At 45.2% G+C, this 16072-nt stretch overlaps 1 protein-coding gene across 2 annotated transcripts in view, besides 2 other annotated features; it reads left to right on the plus strand.

Moving 5' to 3' along the window:
* TAOK1 (TAO kinase 1) overlaps positions 1-16072 on the plus strand; it is a 161541-nt gene that overhangs the window by 130203 nt on the left and 15266 nt on the right. The window contains exons 17-19 of one of the 2 annotated variants that reach the window (NM_020791.4): positions 1715-1954; positions 9842-10054; positions 13553-13735. In NM_020791.4, coding sequence (NP_065842.1) covers positions 1715-1954; positions 9842-10054; positions 13553-13735 — 636 coding nt within the window. The remainder of the gene's footprint in view (positions 1-1714; positions 1955-9841; positions 10055-13552; positions 13736-16072) is intronic. The other variant, NM_025142.1, reaches the window with a different exon arrangement.
* Positions 6019-6519: an enhancer, noted in NCBI's record as "H3K4me1 hESC enhancer chr17:27853602-27854102 (GRCh37/hg19 assembly coordinates)". NCBI's record gives its function as "activates a minimal SCP1, AML or CMV promoter by ChIP-STARR-seq in naive H9 embryonic stem cells {active_cell/tissue: H9 hESC(naive)}" and the evidence as "EXISTENCE:reporter gene assay evidence [ECO:0000049][PMID:30033119]".
* Positions 6520-7020: an enhancer, noted in NCBI's record as "H3K4me1 hESC enhancer chr17:27854103-27854603 (GRCh37/hg19 assembly coordinates)". NCBI's record gives its function as "activates a minimal SCP1, AML or CMV promoter by ChIP-STARR-seq in naive H9 embryonic stem cells {active_cell/tissue: H9 hESC(naive)}" and the evidence as "EXISTENCE:reporter gene assay evidence [ECO:0000049][PMID:30033119]".

Consider the following 16072-nt stretch of genomic DNA (forward strand, 5'->3'; position numbering starts at 1 on the left):
ACCATGGCCTGGTTAATCTTTGTATTTTTAATAGAGACTGGGTTTCACCATGTTGACCAGGTTGGTCTCGAACTCCTGACCTCAGATGATCCGCCTGTCTCGGCCTCCCAGAGTGCTGGGATTACAGGCGTGAGCCACCGTGCCCAGCCAAAAAATTTTTTTTTAATTGGCTGAGCAGGCCGGGTAGTAGTGGCTCACGCCTGTAATCCCAGCACTTTGGGAGGCTGAGGTGGGCAGATCACGAGGTCAGGAGATCGAGACCATCCTGGCCAACATGGTGAAAACCCATCTATACTAAAGATACAAAAATTAGCCAGGCGTGGTGGCACATGCCTGTAGTCCCAGCTACTCGGGAGGCTGAGGCAGGAAGAATCACTTGAACTCAGAAGGCAGAGGTTGCAGTGAGCCAAGTTGGTACCATTGCACTCCAAGCCTGGTCGACAGAGTGACACTCAGTCTCAAAAAAAAAAAAATCTTTTATGTACTGATCTGATCCGGATACGTGTATATTATATTATTAAATGAAGAAAGCCAGTTATGTGCCTAAAACATATATTGTTGTTCAGTTTTTAAAACTGTATGTTTTTGTAAAATAGACTAATCTGAATAAACTTGGGGAAGGTTGAGAAGCACATGCACCAAACTGTTGGCCTCTGGGGAGAGAGTCTGCAAAGGCAAAAGGAGCAAGTTTGACTTTTACATTATATATGTATGTGTTTACTTGTTTCCAATATGAAACAAAATTTTAGAATCTCTTTAAAAAAATGTTTAGAGCCCTGTGAGGTCTAAAATAAAGGAATGACATTTGTTGAGTACCATGTGCTAGGTATTATTCTGAGAACTTTTTGTTTATTAACTGATTTCATCTTCACATTAAATCTGTGAAATAGCTATATTATTATATGCATTTGAGAAATGATGAAACTAAAGCACATTTAGTTTAACTAAGTGAAGGTCTCACTGCTCACAAGTAGCAGAGCCAGAATTTAGAATACAGGCAGTATAGCTCTCTAGTGTCCATGTTTTTTTTCTTTTGAGAGGGAGTCTCGCTCTGTCGCCCAGGCTGGAGTGCAGCGGCTTGATCTCAGCTCCCTGCAAGCTCCGCCTCCTGAGTTCATGCCATTCTCCTGCCTCAGCCTCCCGCGTAGCTGGGACTACGGGCGCCCGCCACAACGCCTGGCTAATTTTTTGTGTTTTTAGTAGAGACGGGATTTCACCCTGTTAGCCAGGATGGTCTCGATCTCCTGACCTCGTGATCCACCCGCCTCGGCCTCCCAAAGTGCTGGGATTACAGGCATGAGCCACCGCGCCCAGCTGTGTCCGTGTTCTTAATCACTACACTAACCAGAGTAGACTGCGTGTAAAATAATTGAATAGAATACTCTGAAGAAATTGAAAGGATAACTTAGGAGCCCTCTTCAAATATAAAATTAGGAAGTATACAAAAGAAGAATGTTAAACCTCTTGATATAGATTTAGTCTTAAGCTAATGGTAATAAAATAATATGAATAAATAGTAAATGAATATAAGGAAATTTGTGCTACTAATTGCCCATTTAAAGAGGTAAAAGTCACAACCCTCTTATTTACTATGCAACTATAATTGAATAACAGGGTTAATTACATCTGTTTACTGGTTATTCTGTTAATTAGGACTTTTTTCTGGCATTATACAGCAGTAAGTTATACCTTTGTCTTTTGTGTTATGGATTAGGAGTTAAACAAAAGACAGACTCAGAAGGACTTAGAGCATGCCATGCTACTCCGACAGCATGAATCTATGCAAGAACTGGAGTTCCGCCACCTCAACACAATTCAGAAGATGCGCTGTGAGTTGATCAGATTACAGCATCAAACTGAGCTCACTAACCAGCTGGAATATAATAAGCGAAGAGAACGAGAACTAAGACGAAAGCATGTCATGGAAGTTCGACAACAGCCTAAGAGTTTGAAGGTATGGTTAGCCTAAGCTTTTTGATAACAGGGAGGAGAATGAAAAGGTATCCATGTAAGCAGGAAAAGTCTTAAGATGATGTCTAGTCATAAAGAAATTGACTAAGCTTCTTTTCATTTTTAGCATCTTTGGTTGACTTTAATGTTAAATGCCTGTTGCTACAGTCTTTTGCTTATGTATTTCTCATCAGAGTACAAAAAAGTGGCCAAAACTTTTAACCATGGGAAGTGCCAGTAGATAAGAATCAAGATTCTTGTTTTAAACTTATCCAAGGGCAGGGTGCAGTGGCTCACGCCTGTAATCCCAGCAGTTTAGGAGGCCAAGGCGGGTGGATCACCTGAGGTCAGGAGTTCAAGACCAGCTTGGACAACATGGTGAAACCCTGTCTCTACTAAAAATACAAAAATTAGTTGGGTGTGGCGGCACATGCCTATAGTCCCAGCTACTCGGGGGGCTGAAGCAGGAGAATCCCTTGAACCCAGGAGGCAGAGGTTGCAGTGAGTCAAGAACACACCACAGCACTCCAGCCCGGGTGACAGAGCAAGACCCTGTCTCAAAAAAAAAAAAAAAAAAAATGTACTCAAATGTCCAAGGCCAATATTATATTCTACATGTCAACAAGCTTACCATTTGGCTTCTCTCTGTTGTTCCAAGTAAAATTTTAAAACCCTAATTTGCTGTAAATATGACTTGTACAAGATTTAAAAATATGAAAGTGCATTATAAAGTAAAAAGTTTAAAGCTGCACAGCTACTAGTTAGAAAAAAAAAAAACAAGAAAAAGTTTTCTTCTCTGTGCTTGTTCCTCCAGCCACCTGGTCCATCTCCCTCCATCAAAGTCAACTGCAGTTAACAATTCTGAAGTTTTTGTTTGTTTGTTTGTTTTTGAGACAGAGTCTCGCTCTTTCGCCCAGGCTGGAGTGCAGCGGCATGATCTTGGCTCATTGCAAGCTCTGCCTCCTGGGTTCATGCCATTCTCCTGCCTCAGCCTCCCTAGTAGCTGGGACTACAGGTGCCTGCCACCACGCCCGGCTAATTTTTTGTATTTTTAGTAGAGACGGGGTTCACCGTGTTAGCCAGGATGGTCTCAATCTCCTGACCTCGTGATCCACCCGCCTCGGCCTCCCAAAGTGCTGGGATTACAGGCATGAACCACCGCACCTGGCCCACATGAATCTTAATATACAAAACCACCCACTATCTGTCATCGATGATAAGCACCTCAATTGCTCTGTACATATCTGTACATTTAAAACTTTTATTTATATTCAGTAAGGTCCAGTTTCCACAGTATTTCCTATTTAAAGCTTCTCCTGTACTCCTACCCAGCCCTTTTTATAAGCTATTTGATATTTAAACTATAAAATGGTTCTTGGTTTTACTCTGAATAACTATGCTGGAGTACAATGAAATTCATTCACAGAGGTAATCTGTGTCAAAATCTAGAAGCTATAACACACTCAATGGTATTCCCAATGCCCACCCAACTCCATTCAAACAAGCTGTTCTGAACAAAATACAGAAACAATGTTAAGATGCTTTATTGTTTTCATGTGAATGTGAGTAAAATTTCACCTTGCTATATCTTCAAAATAGGTAATTATTATTACACAGTAGTTATGTTGACTACTAACATAATCTTCCTTAGTTAATGCTTAGAAAAATTAGAATTATAATGATTTTTTAGATTTGTTTTTGCAGTGGGGAGATACATAATCATTTAGCTACAGAATAGACAATCTCCCATGAACAGATTTTTAAACCAACGTGTCAGCAAAGTCAATTATGATTTTAAAGCCAACAGCACCGAGGAATAAACCAAACTGAAAGTCATACCGTAAATCTGATATGACTGCATTTCTCTAGGGCTTGGGTGATGGATAGGTGTTTGACATTTAACCATTTCTTTCTGTCATTAGAACCTTTCCGTTTTAAAGCTTATAAACAGTAGTCCGATTCTCTCAGATAGTACGTTAAAAGTGAGGAGAAAATAAAGCTTCGTTATCATAGTCAGGCTTTAAATAAAATGCATTTCTGATTACAAGTGAGCTCAAGGTTTCCTGTTAGGAAAGAAAAATCACCATTTTCCTCATATTTAGGTGTATCTATTTACTTAGTCAACTTGAACATTTTAACACCAAGTCATCACATTTCTATTTACTTAAGTAATCGTTGCCTCTTTCAATTTTCTCCTTTAGTAGCGGAGGCAGAATTTAGAATATAGCATCAACTGTGTTTGATGGAGGAGAGGAGACTGCAGTTGGAACATTTTATTTATGTTGATTAGGATTTGTGGGGGTGGGGTGCTGTTTCTATGGAAAGGGTTGGGTGAAAATCTGCTGCCTACTCCGCTGTTTCTTCAGCTGCCATCCAGATGATGCTTTGTCAGCACTAAATGAGTAGAAATAAATGTAACTTGCCTTCATCTCGCTTTCACTTGAGTCACACATTGAGGGATATAGTTTATTCTTAGTATAAGCATTAATTTTACTCTTGTTAAAGAAAAATTTTTCAAAGAGTTATTTTTTCTCATTAGGCAGGAATGTGGAATGATTACAGTATTCCTGGCACAATGTTTGTTTTTTTTGTTTTGTTTTGTTTTGTTTTGTTTGAGGTGGAGTTTCGCTCTTATTGCCCAGGCTGGAATGCAATGGCACGATCTCAGCTCACCACAACCTCCGCCTCCCGGGTTCAAGCAATGCTCCCGCCTCAGCCTCCCAAGTAGCTGGGATTACAGGTGCACACCACCACGCCCGGCTAATTTTTGTATTTTTAGTAGAGATGGGGTTTCACCATGTTGGTCAGGCTGGTCTCAAACTCCTGACCTCGTGATCCGCCCGCCTCGGCCTCCCAAAGTGCTGGGATTACAGGCATGAGCCACCATGCCCGACCTTGTTTTCTTTCTGAAACAGAGTTTCGCTCTTGTCGCCTAGGCTGGAGTGCAGTGGCATGATCTTCTCACTGCAACCTCTGCCTCCCAGGATCAAGCGATTCTCATGCCTCAGCCTCCCAAGTACCTGGGATTACAGGCGCCCACCATCACGCCCTCGTGTTTTTAGTAGAGAAGGGTTTCACCATGTTGGCCCTGCTGGTCTTGAACTCCTGACCTCAGGTGATCCACCCACCTCAGCTTCCCAAACTGCTAGGATTACAGGCGTGAGCCACCGCGCCCAGCCCAGCACAATGCTTTAAAAATAAAAACTTTTCGCTGGGGCAGTCACTCACACCTGTAATCCCAGCACTTTGGAAGGCCGAGGCAGGGGATCATGAGGTCAAGAGACCATCCTGGCCAACATGGTGAAACCTCGTCTCTACTAAAAATACAAAAATTACCCAGGCATGGTGGCACGTGCCTGTAGTCCCAGCTACTTGGGAGGTTGAGGCAGGAGATTGACTTGAACCCAGGAGGCGGAGGTTGCAGTGAGCCAAGGTCGTGCCACTGCACTCTAGCCTGGCGACAGAGCGAGACTCCGTCTCAAAAATTAAAAATAATGTCCGGGCGTGGTGGCTCATACCTGTAATCCCAGTACTTTGGGAGGCTGAGGTCGGGAGTTCGAGACCAGCCTGACCAACATGGAAAAACCCCATCTCTACTAAAAATACAAAATTAGCCGGGTGTGGTGGCACATGCTTGCTCTCCTAGCTACTTGGGAGGCTGAGGCAGGAGAATCACTTGAACCCGGAAGGCGGAGGAAGGTGGAGGTTACGGTGAGCCAAGATCGCGCCATTCCACTCCAGCCTGGGCAACAAGGGCAAAACTCCATCTCAACAAATAAATAAATAAAAATAAAGCCTTTTAAAAGAATGGATGCTATTTTACTGAGGCAGAAGATACTATCTAAATTTCATTGTTTCATTTCTGTCTAGAAGCACTTGGAACAACTTTGTTAACCATGAATGGTTTTTTTGTTTGTTTTTGTTTGTTTTCACTGTGTCACCCAGGCTGGAGGGCAGTGGCGCAATCTCGGCTCACTGCAACCTCTGCCTGCCAGCTTCAAGTGATTCTCCTGCCTCAGCCTCCTGAGTAGCTGTGATTACAGGCATGCACCACCACCTGGCTGATTTTTGTATATTTAGTAGAGAAGGGATTTCACCATATTGACCAGGCTGGTCTTGAATGCCTAACCTCAAGTGATCCACCCACCTCAGCCTCTCAGAGTCTTGGGATTACAGGCGTGAGCCACCACACCCAGCCTAAGAATGGTATTTTAAAATGGTGCTACTCAGCCTGAGCAACATAGTGAGACCCTGTCTCTAGAAAAAATTACCAGCCTGGGCAGCATAGGGAGATCTCATCTCTTAAAAAAAAAAAAAAAAAAAAAAAAAAAAGCCAGGCACAGTGGCTCACGGCTGCAATCCCAGCACTTTGGGAGGTTGACGTGGGCAGATCACAAGGTCAGGAGATTGAGACCATCTGGCTAACAGGGTGAAACCCCATCTCTACTAAAAATTAAAAAATTAGCTGGGTGTGGTGGCATGCACCTGTAGTCCCAGCTACGCAGGAGGCTGAGGCAAGAGAATCGCTTGAACCACGGAGTCGGAGGTTGCAGTGAGCTGAGGTAGCGCCACTGCACTCCAGCCTGGTGACAGAGCAAGACTCTTTCTCAGGGAAAAAAAAAGAGGCTGGGCATGATGACATGCCTGTGGTGGTCCCAGCTACTCAGGTGGCTGAGAGGCAAGAGGATCACTTGAACCCCAGGAGGTTGAGGCTGTGGTGAGCCATGATCATGCCACTGCACTCCAGCCTGGGTGACAGTGAGACCCTGTCTCAAAAAAAGAAAAGAAAAAGATTCAAAAGCCAGGCGTGGTGGTAGCTCACACCTGTAATCCCAGCTACTTGGGAGGCTGAGGTAGGAGGATTGCTTGAGCCTGGGAGGTCAGGGATGCAGTGAGCCATGATCATGGCACTGTACTCCAGAGCCTGGACAACAGAGTGAGACTGTCTCAAAAATAAAAACAGTGCTACTAACCATAGCTAAACTAAGAGTTTCTCTTACTAGCTAGACATTTCTTGACCCCTCACAAAATAAAGACATATTACTAGGGTCTAGTGCCTCAGATGGTGAAAAATACAGAAAGGCATATTTAATGTTGTAGTATTGAGGGGAGTACTTTCTCTTAGACAAGTGTGTAAATTTGGTTACATATCCATTTGTTGCATGATGAATCAACCAGCCAATACCTGGCAGTATTTATATTAAGATAAAATAATTTCAACAATAGGTTCTGCCTCAGTGCAGTAAATGAATGTGTTCTCACTTGTAGGATCAACTGGTACACCTTACAGAAACAGATCTCATCTTATTGAAGCTTTTTAAAACCTGAGTTCATAGAATACCCAACCTACTGATTAACCAAACACTAAAGCCAAAGATCTTCTGTCTCTAAACTTAAATATTTTCATCTCAGAAATGTTTATATACTGTAGTTCATGTCTGTTACCCCACGAAGAGGATTGTCTCCTCCGTTACCACAGAAGTTTTGTTTAACCTTTGAAAGATTAGTTTTGTTATTTTGTTTGTTTGTTTTGTGTGTGTGTGTGTGTTTTTGAGACAGAGTCTCACTCTGTTGCCCAGGCTGGAGTGCAGTGGTGCAATCTTAGCTCACTGCAGCCTCCACCTCCCGGGTTCAAGCAATTCTTGTGCCTCAGCCTCTTGAGTAGCTGGGATTACAGGCACATGCCACCACACCGGGCTAATTTTTGTATTTTTAGTAGAGACAGAGTTTCACCGTGTTGGCCAGGCTGGTCTCAAACTCGACCTCAAATGATCTGGCCACCTCAGCCTCCCAAAGTGCTGGGATTGCAGGCGTGAGCCACCACGCCTGGCCAAGATTTGTTAACTTGACTGACTTTTAAGTTTTTGCTTGTGTTAAAGAGTAAACCATTGCGAAGTATATCTCTACCTAGTTTATTCTCTTAAGGAAAAGACCATTGTAATAACAATATTAGTAATTCCTAATAGAGATTTCCAAGTCAGCCTCACATTTGGTACATAAACTGTATAGTTAGAGTTGAGAGTGTCATGAAAAGAAATTGGGGGCAAGGCACAGTGGCTTATGCCTGTAATCCCAGCACTTTGGGAGGCCAAGGTGGGCGGTTTGCCTGAGGTCAGGAGTTCAAGACAAGCCTGGCTGACATGGTGAAACCCTGTCTCTACTAAAAATACAAAAATTGGCTGGGCTTGGTGGTGCAAGCCTGTAATCCCCACTACTCAGGAGGCTGAGGCAGGAAAATCGATTGAACCCAGGAGATGGAGGCTGCAGTGAGCTGAGATCACACCACTGCACTCCAGCCTGAGCAACAGAATGAGACTCCGTCTCAAAAAAAAAAAAAAAAAAAAAAAAAGAAATTGCAGCAAAGTGTTTCTAAAACGAACAGAATAAATGTGCTTTATTTTCTGTCTCTAGATCTGATAAGATATTGTCTCACCAATAAAGTGCTTTTATATCTTTTTTTTTTTTTTTTTTAAGAGACCAGTGTCTCACTCTATTGTTCAGCCTAGAGTCCAATGATGCAATCATGGTTCACCGCAGCCTTGAACTCCTGGGCTCAAGTGATCCTTCTGCCTCAGCCTCCCTAGCAGCTAGGACTACAGGTGAACATCATTATGCCTGGCTAATTTTAAAAATTGCTTTGTAGAAATGGGGTCTCACTATGTTGGCTCAGGCTAGTCTGGAACTCCTGGCCTATAAACAATCCTGCCTTGGCCTCCCAAAGTACTGGGATTACAGGCATGAGCCACAATAACTCTATTATGCTTAATTCATGAGAAAAAATTTAATTTTCTAAGCCAGGTACAGTGGCTCATGCCTATAATTACTGTACTTTTAGGGGCTGAGGTGGGAGGATCGCTTGAGGCCAGGAGTTTGGAACCAGCCTGGGCAACATAGGGAAACTCCATCACTAACAACAACAACAAAAATATCCAGGAGCTGGGTATGGTGGCTGACACCAGTAAACCCAGCACTTCAGGAGGCCAAGGCAGGTGGATTGCTTGAGCCCAGGAATTTGACACCAGCCTAGGTAACACAGTGAAACCTTGTCTCTACAAAAAATACAAAAATTGGCCAGGTGCAGTGGTTCACGCCTGTAATCCCAGCACTTAGGAGGCCAAGGCAGGCAGATCACTTGAAGTGAAGAGTGCGAGACCATCCTGGCCAACATGGTGAAACCCCGTCTCTACTAAAAATACAAAAATTAGCTGGGCATGGTGGCACATGCCTGTAATCCCAGCTATTCGGGAGGCTGAGACAGGAGAATCGGTTGAACTCAGGGAGGCGGCGGTTGCAGTGAGCCAAGATTGCGCCATTGGACTCCAGCCTGGGTGACAGAGCGAGATTCCAAAAAAAAAAAAAAAATTAGCTGAACATAGTGGCGCACACTTGTGGTCCCAGCTACTCAGGAGGCTGAGGTGGGACGATTGCTTGAGCATAGGAGGTTGAGGCTACAGTAAGCAATGGTTGCACCACTGCACTCCAGCCTGGGTAACAGAGTGAGACTCCATCTCAAAAAAAAAAAGAAAAAGAAAAAGAAAAAATGTAATTCTCTGTCATGAATATGCATAGTAATCAAAGCTAATTTTAATATCTACTCAGGTCACTAACTTTATTAGTGAAACAACAGATATTGTTACAAGTCCTATCATAAATGGGGCTGTTTATGCCCTAATGTTTTAAATGAGGTTTTTTGTTGTAAAACTGCATAAAATTCAATCAGCAGTTTGGCCAAATAGCCAAGTGCAAAAAGTACCTGCAACCTGATGATCTGACCTGCTTGGCTTTCCTCTCATTTTTTTCCTAGTAGCCTTTATTTTCATGTATGTAAGCATACCATATACCAAATGCCTTTCGTTACAACTTACATAAATGTATTTTTTTTTCTTCCCAGTCTAAAGAACTCCAAATAAAAAAGCAGTTTCAGGATACCTGCAAAATCCAAACCAGACAGTACAAAGCATTAAGAAATCACCTGCTGGAGACTACACCAAAGAGTGAGCACAAAGCTGTTCTGAAACGGCTCAAGGAGGAACAGACCCGGAAATTAGCTATCTTGGCTGAGCAGTATGATCACAGCATTAATGAAATGCTCTCCACACAAGCCGTGAGTTTGCTTTTTTTGGGGCAAAACAAATTTAGTGCCCCTTTTCTTCCACCACCTGAACGAAATCACAGCAATTAAAGTACTAGTTGGAAATGATAGCTCTCCTGAAGCTTGGGAAATGTGGTGGTGGTTCATTTTCTTCCTGTTCTCAACATTGCTTGAAAATGTCATGATGCATGTAGAATTCTCATTGATACATTTAGACATGAGGTTCTAAATAGGCTCCCTGCCAGCACAGATCCTAACACCTTATTGAGATTAGAATAGCAGCTTTGGGAAGCAGTGAGCAAAAGGTATGATTATAATGGGAATAAAAATGGTTGTGTTTGAGTACAAGTACAAATTTTTTTTTTTTTTTTTGAGACGGAGTCTCACTCTGTCACCCAGGCTGGAGTCCAGTGGCGCGATCTCGGCTCACTGCAAGCTCCGCCTCCCGGGTTCACGCCATTCTCCTGCCTCAGCCTCCCAAGTAGCTGGGACTACAGGCGCCTGCCACTATGCCCGGCTAATTTTTTTTTTTTGTATTTTTAGTAGAGACGGGGTTTTACCGTGTTAGCCAGGATGGTCTCGATCTCCTGACCTCGTGATCCGCCCGCCTCGGCCTCCCAAAGTGCTGGGATTACAGGCATGAGCCACCACGCCCGGCTACAAATTTTTTATTTATTTATTTATTTTTTTAGATGGAATTTTGCCCTGTCGCCCAGGCTGCATTGCAGTAGTGCGATCTCAACTCACTGCAACCTCCACCTCCCGGGTTCAAGGGGATTCTCCGTCCTTGGCCTCCCGAGTAGCTGAGATTACAGGCGCAAAATATTTTCTATATAAGAGCTTTGTAAACTTTTTTTTAAAGGGCCAGATAAGGCTGCGCGCCAGTGGCTCACGCCTGTAATCCAAGCACTTTGGAAAGCCTAGGCGGGTGGATCACCTGAGGTCAAGAATTCGAGAGCAGCCTGCCCAACATGGCGAAACCTCGTCTCTACTAAAAATACAAAAATTAGCCAGGCGTGGTGGTGGGCGCCCATAATCCCAGCTACTCTGGAGGCGGAGGCGGGAGAATCACCTGAACCCCGGGGGCAGAGGTTGCAGTGAGCCGAGATTGCGCCATTGCACTCCAGCCTGGGCAACAAAACGAGACTCCGTCTCAGAAAAAAAAAAACAGGGCCAGATAAGACTTTTTAGGCAGGAGGCAAAACTAAGGCTATTATGTGGGTACTTATATAACTGCTTAAGATGTAACCCTTTCTTTTTTTTTTTTTTTTGAGACGGAGTCTCGCTCTGTCACCCAGGCTGGAGTGCAGTGGCACGATCTTGGCTCACTGCAAGCTCCGCCTCCCGGGTTCACGCCATTCTCCTGCCTCAGCCTCCCGAATAGCTGAGACTACAGGCGCATGCCACCAAGCCCAGCTAATTTTTTGTATTTTTAGTGGAGACGGGGTTTCACCGTGTTAGCCAGGATGGTCTCAACCTTGTGACCTTGTGATCCGCCCGCCTCAGCCTCCCAAAGTGCTGGGATTACAGGCGTGAGCCACCGCGCCCGGCAATATGTAACCCTTTCAAAATGAAAACACCACTCTTAGCTCATGGGCTGTAAAAAATAACAACAAAACAGGCGCCTGCTCATACTTTGCTTGTAGACTATAGTTTGCTGGTCTTTGTTCTATAGTTATTTCCACTAGAGAGGAAGAGATTCAGAGATCTAATGAGATTCTAGGTTTTTCTTTTTTGTTTGTTTGTGGTTTTTTTTTTTTTGATCATTCTTGGGTGTTTCTCGCAGAGGGGGATTTGGCAGGGTCATAGGACAATAGTGGAGGGAAGGTCAGCAGATAAACAAGTGAACAAAGGTCTCTGGTTTTCCTAGGCAGAGGACCCTTCGGCCTTCCCAGTGTTTGTGTCCCTGGGTACTTGAGATTAGGGAGTGGTGATGACTCTTAACGAGCATGCTGCCTTCAAGCATCTGTTTAACAAAGCACATCTTGCACCGCCCTTAATCCATTTAACCCTGAGTGGACACAACACATGTTTCGGAGAGTACCGGGTTGGGGGTAAGGTCACAGATCAACAGGATCCCCAGGCAAAAGAATTTTTCTTAGTACAGAACAAAATGAAAAGTCTCCCATGTCTACTTCTTTCTACACAGACACGGCAACCATCCGATTTCTCAATCTTTTCCCTACCTTTCCCCCCTTTCTATTCCACAAAACCGCCATTGTCATCATGGCCCGTTCTCAATGAGCTGTTGGGTACACCTCCCAGACGGGGTGGTGGCCGGGCAGAGGCGCCCCTCACCTCCTAGACGGGGCGGCTGGCCGGGTGGGGGGCTGACCCCCCCACCTCCCTCCCGGACGGGGCGGGTGGCCGGGCAGGGGGCTGACCCCCCCACCTCCAACCGGGCGGGGGGCTGACCCCCACCTCCCTCCCGGATGGGGTGGCTGCCGGGCGGAGATGCTCCTCACTTCCCAGACGGGGTGGCTGCCGGGCGGAGGGGCTTCTCACTTCTCAGACGGGGCGGTTGCCGGGCAGAGACGCTCCTCACCTCCCAGATGGGGTCGCGGCCGGGCAGAGGCGCTCCTCACATCCCAGATGGGGTGGCGGGGCAGAGGCGCTCCCCACATCTCAGACGATGGGCGGCCGGGCAGAGACGCTCCTCACTTCCTAGATGGGATGGCGGCCGGGAAGAGGCGCTCCTCACTTCCTAGATGGGATGGCGGCCGGGCAGAGATGTTCCTCACTTTCCACACTGGGCAGCCAGGCAGAGGGGCTCCTCACATCCCAGACGATGGGCAGCCGGGCAGAGACGCTCCTCACTTCCCAGATGGGGTGGCGGCCGGGCAGAGGCTGCAATCTCGGCACTTTGGGAGGCCAAGGCAGGCGGCTGGGAGGTGGAGGTTGTAGCGAGCCGAGATCACCCCACTGCACTCCAGCCTGGGCACCATTGAGCACTGAGTGAACGAGACTCCGTCTGCAATCCTGGCACCTCGGGAGGCGGAGGCTGGCGGATCACTTGCGGTTAGGAGCTGGAGACCAGCCCGGCCAACACAGCGAAACCCCGTCTCCACCAAAAAAATACGAAAACCAGTCAGGCGTGGCGGCGCGCGCCTGCAATCGCAGGCACTCGGCAGGCTGAGGCAGGAGAATCAGGCAAGGAGGTTGCAGTGAGCCGAGATGGCAGCAGTACAGTCCAGCTTCGGCTCGGCATCAGAGGGAGACCGTGGGGAGAGGGAGGGGGAGGGGGAGAGGGGATTCTAGGTTTTTCTTAAGAAAAATATGGTTATTCAGGCATCTTCCAAATAGCTTATGATAGCTTTATCTTCATACCGATATTGGTTATTCTGCATTTCTTTTTCAGAGATGTTTACTCCAAGATACAAGAGAGAAAAATTGTCTAAACTAAAAAAGAGTAGTCTGTCTTCTAACACTCCTCCTCCTTTCCATAGGTCATGAATTGATAGCTAACATTAGGATATATCTTTTTTTTTTCTCTCTCTCTCTCTGTCTCAGCTGCGTTTGGATGAAGCACAGGAAGCAGAGTGCCAGGTTTTGAAGATGCAGCTGCAGCAGGAACTGGAGCTGTTGAATGCGTATCAGAGCAAAATCAAGATGCAAGCTGAGGCACAACATGATCGAGAGCTTCGCGAGCTTGAACAGAGGGTCTCCCTCCGGAGGGCACTCTTAGAACAAAAGGTATAAGTAATAGAAGGAAAAATCATTGTTTTCGAATTAGCTTTTGTCAGAAGCGTTTTATAAATATATTTTCATGTTGGCAGAGGTCACATTAGATTTCTTTCACAATACCACATTTCCTGAATTCTAGTTATGGCAGCAGATTTTTCTTTAAAATTACTGATTCACTGATGAACCTTATCATTAATGAGCTCCAGAAATCAAGGGAATATAATTAAGTAGTAATTGCTAGAGAAAAGATATGGGTGTGTGAAGACAGTCAGCTGAATTTGAGAGTAGCAGATATGGCTCTATTTTCCTCACTTCTGTGTTCCTAGCTTGCTCTACCTAAGGAGGTTGGAGAAGGACTTAACTAGTGAAGAAAGAGAGCTGCATTAATTGCCTGAGAGAGCCAGGGACAAAGGATCAGGAATATTACCTTACTCATACATCCTTGGCCTGGAGCTATACAGATTGGTAGAGGATTACTGAGGGACAGAAGGTAAAATTAGTTCCACACAGGTGAAAAGTCAGGCTGAAAAAATGTTATTTCTAGATGCACATCTTTACTTTTTTCTGAATTATTCTTGTCAGATATATTGGAAAATAGAACTAGAATCCCCAAATTTCCATCCTTCAGGATACTAAGGTGTGTGTGTGTGTGTGTGTGTGTGTGTGTGTGTGTATTAGGGAAAGGGCGATGGACAGAAGATTTTGAGAGGTAAAGAGAAGAAAGGCATTTGTTGCAAGAAGTGGTAGATTAGGCTGGGCTTAGGCCTCCCAGCACTTTGGGAAGCCAAGGCGGGAAGATCGTCTGAGCTCAGGAGTTCGAGACCAGCCTGGGCAACACAGGGAGACCCTATCTCTACAAATATTTAAAAATTAGCTGAGTGTGGTGGCTCACTCCTGTGGTCCCAGCTACTTGGGAGGCTGAGGTGGGAAGATGGATTGAGCCTAGAAGGTTGAGGCTTCAGTAAGCCATGGCTGCACCACTGCACTCTAGCCTGGGCAACAGGCAAGATCCTGTCTCAAAATAAATAAATAAATAAATAAAACAGTGGTCGATTATCAATTGTATCCAGGATTCAGAGATACATTCCAGAACTCTTGAGTCTTAAATTCCCAACAGCTGATGTAGTCTTAGGTCCGTCGGTTATCGCATTTAATACTTACCTAATGATCTTCCTAAAGTTGTCATTGTTTCTGGACCATAGGCCTGTAGATTTTTCCTCTATTTCCTATAGTTCCTGTGATAAAAATAGAATGCCTTATTAAAGTAAAAAATATCTTTTAAACCAGGTGTTGTGGCTCATGCTTGTAATCCCAGCACTTGGGAGGCGGAGGCAAGCAGATCGCTTGAGCTCAGGAGTTCAAGACCAGCCTGGGCAACATGGCAAAACCCTGCCTCTACAAAAAATACAAAAATTGGCCAAGTGTGGTGTCAGACACCTATAGTCCCAGCGACTAGGGAGGTTTAAGGTGAGAGGATCACTTGAGCCCAGGAGGTTGAGGCTGCAGTGAGCTGAGATCATGCCACTGCACTCCAGCCTGGGTTACAAAGCGAGACCCTGTCTCAAAAAAACAAAAAAAATCTTTAAAAAAATCACCTAAATAAGATATAAGATGTTACTATTTCTCTAGCACAGCTGTCTTTATTACTGGCTTCTTTGAGAGGTATTTGCATCTAAATATTATCTCAATTTTATTTCTCATTCAAGATGAGAAAGATAAGGCCAGGCACAGTGGCTCACGCCTGTAATCCCAGCACTTTGGGAGGCCGAGGGTTGGGGGAGCAGATCGCCTGTGGTCAGGAGTTCAAGACCAGCCTGGCCAACATAGTGAAACACCATCTCTACTGAAAATACAAAAATTAACCAGGCGTGGTGGCAGGCGCCTGTAATCCCAGCTACTCCAGAGGTTGAGGCAGGAGAATCCCTTGAATCTGGGAGGCAGAGGTTGCAGTGAGCCGAGATGGCGCCACTGCACTCCAGCCTGGGCAACAGAGCGAGACTCTGTCTCAAAAAATAAGATGAGAGGCCGGGGCATGGTGGCTCACACCTGTAATCCCAGCACTTTGGGAGGCCAAGGCGGGCGGATCACGAGGTCAGGGGAGATCGAAACCATCCTGGCTAACACGGTGAAACCCCGTCTCTACTAAAAATACAAAAAATTAACCCGGGCATGATGGCGGGTGCCTATAGTCCCAACTACTTGGGAGGCTGAGGCAAGAGAATGGCGTGAACCTGGGAGGCGGAGGTTGCAGTGATCCAAGATCACGCCACTGCACTCCAGCCTGGGCAACAGAGCAAGACTCCATCTCAAAAAATAAATAAATAAATAAGATGAGAAAGATAGAAA

The sequence above is a fragment of the Homo sapiens genome, chromosome 17 (assembly GCF_000001405.40).
Source record: "Homo sapiens chromosome 17, GRCh38.p14 Primary Assembly".
In the NCBI taxonomy this organism is placed as follows: domain Eukaryota; kingdom Metazoa; phylum Chordata; class Mammalia; order Primates; family Hominidae; genus Homo; species Homo sapiens.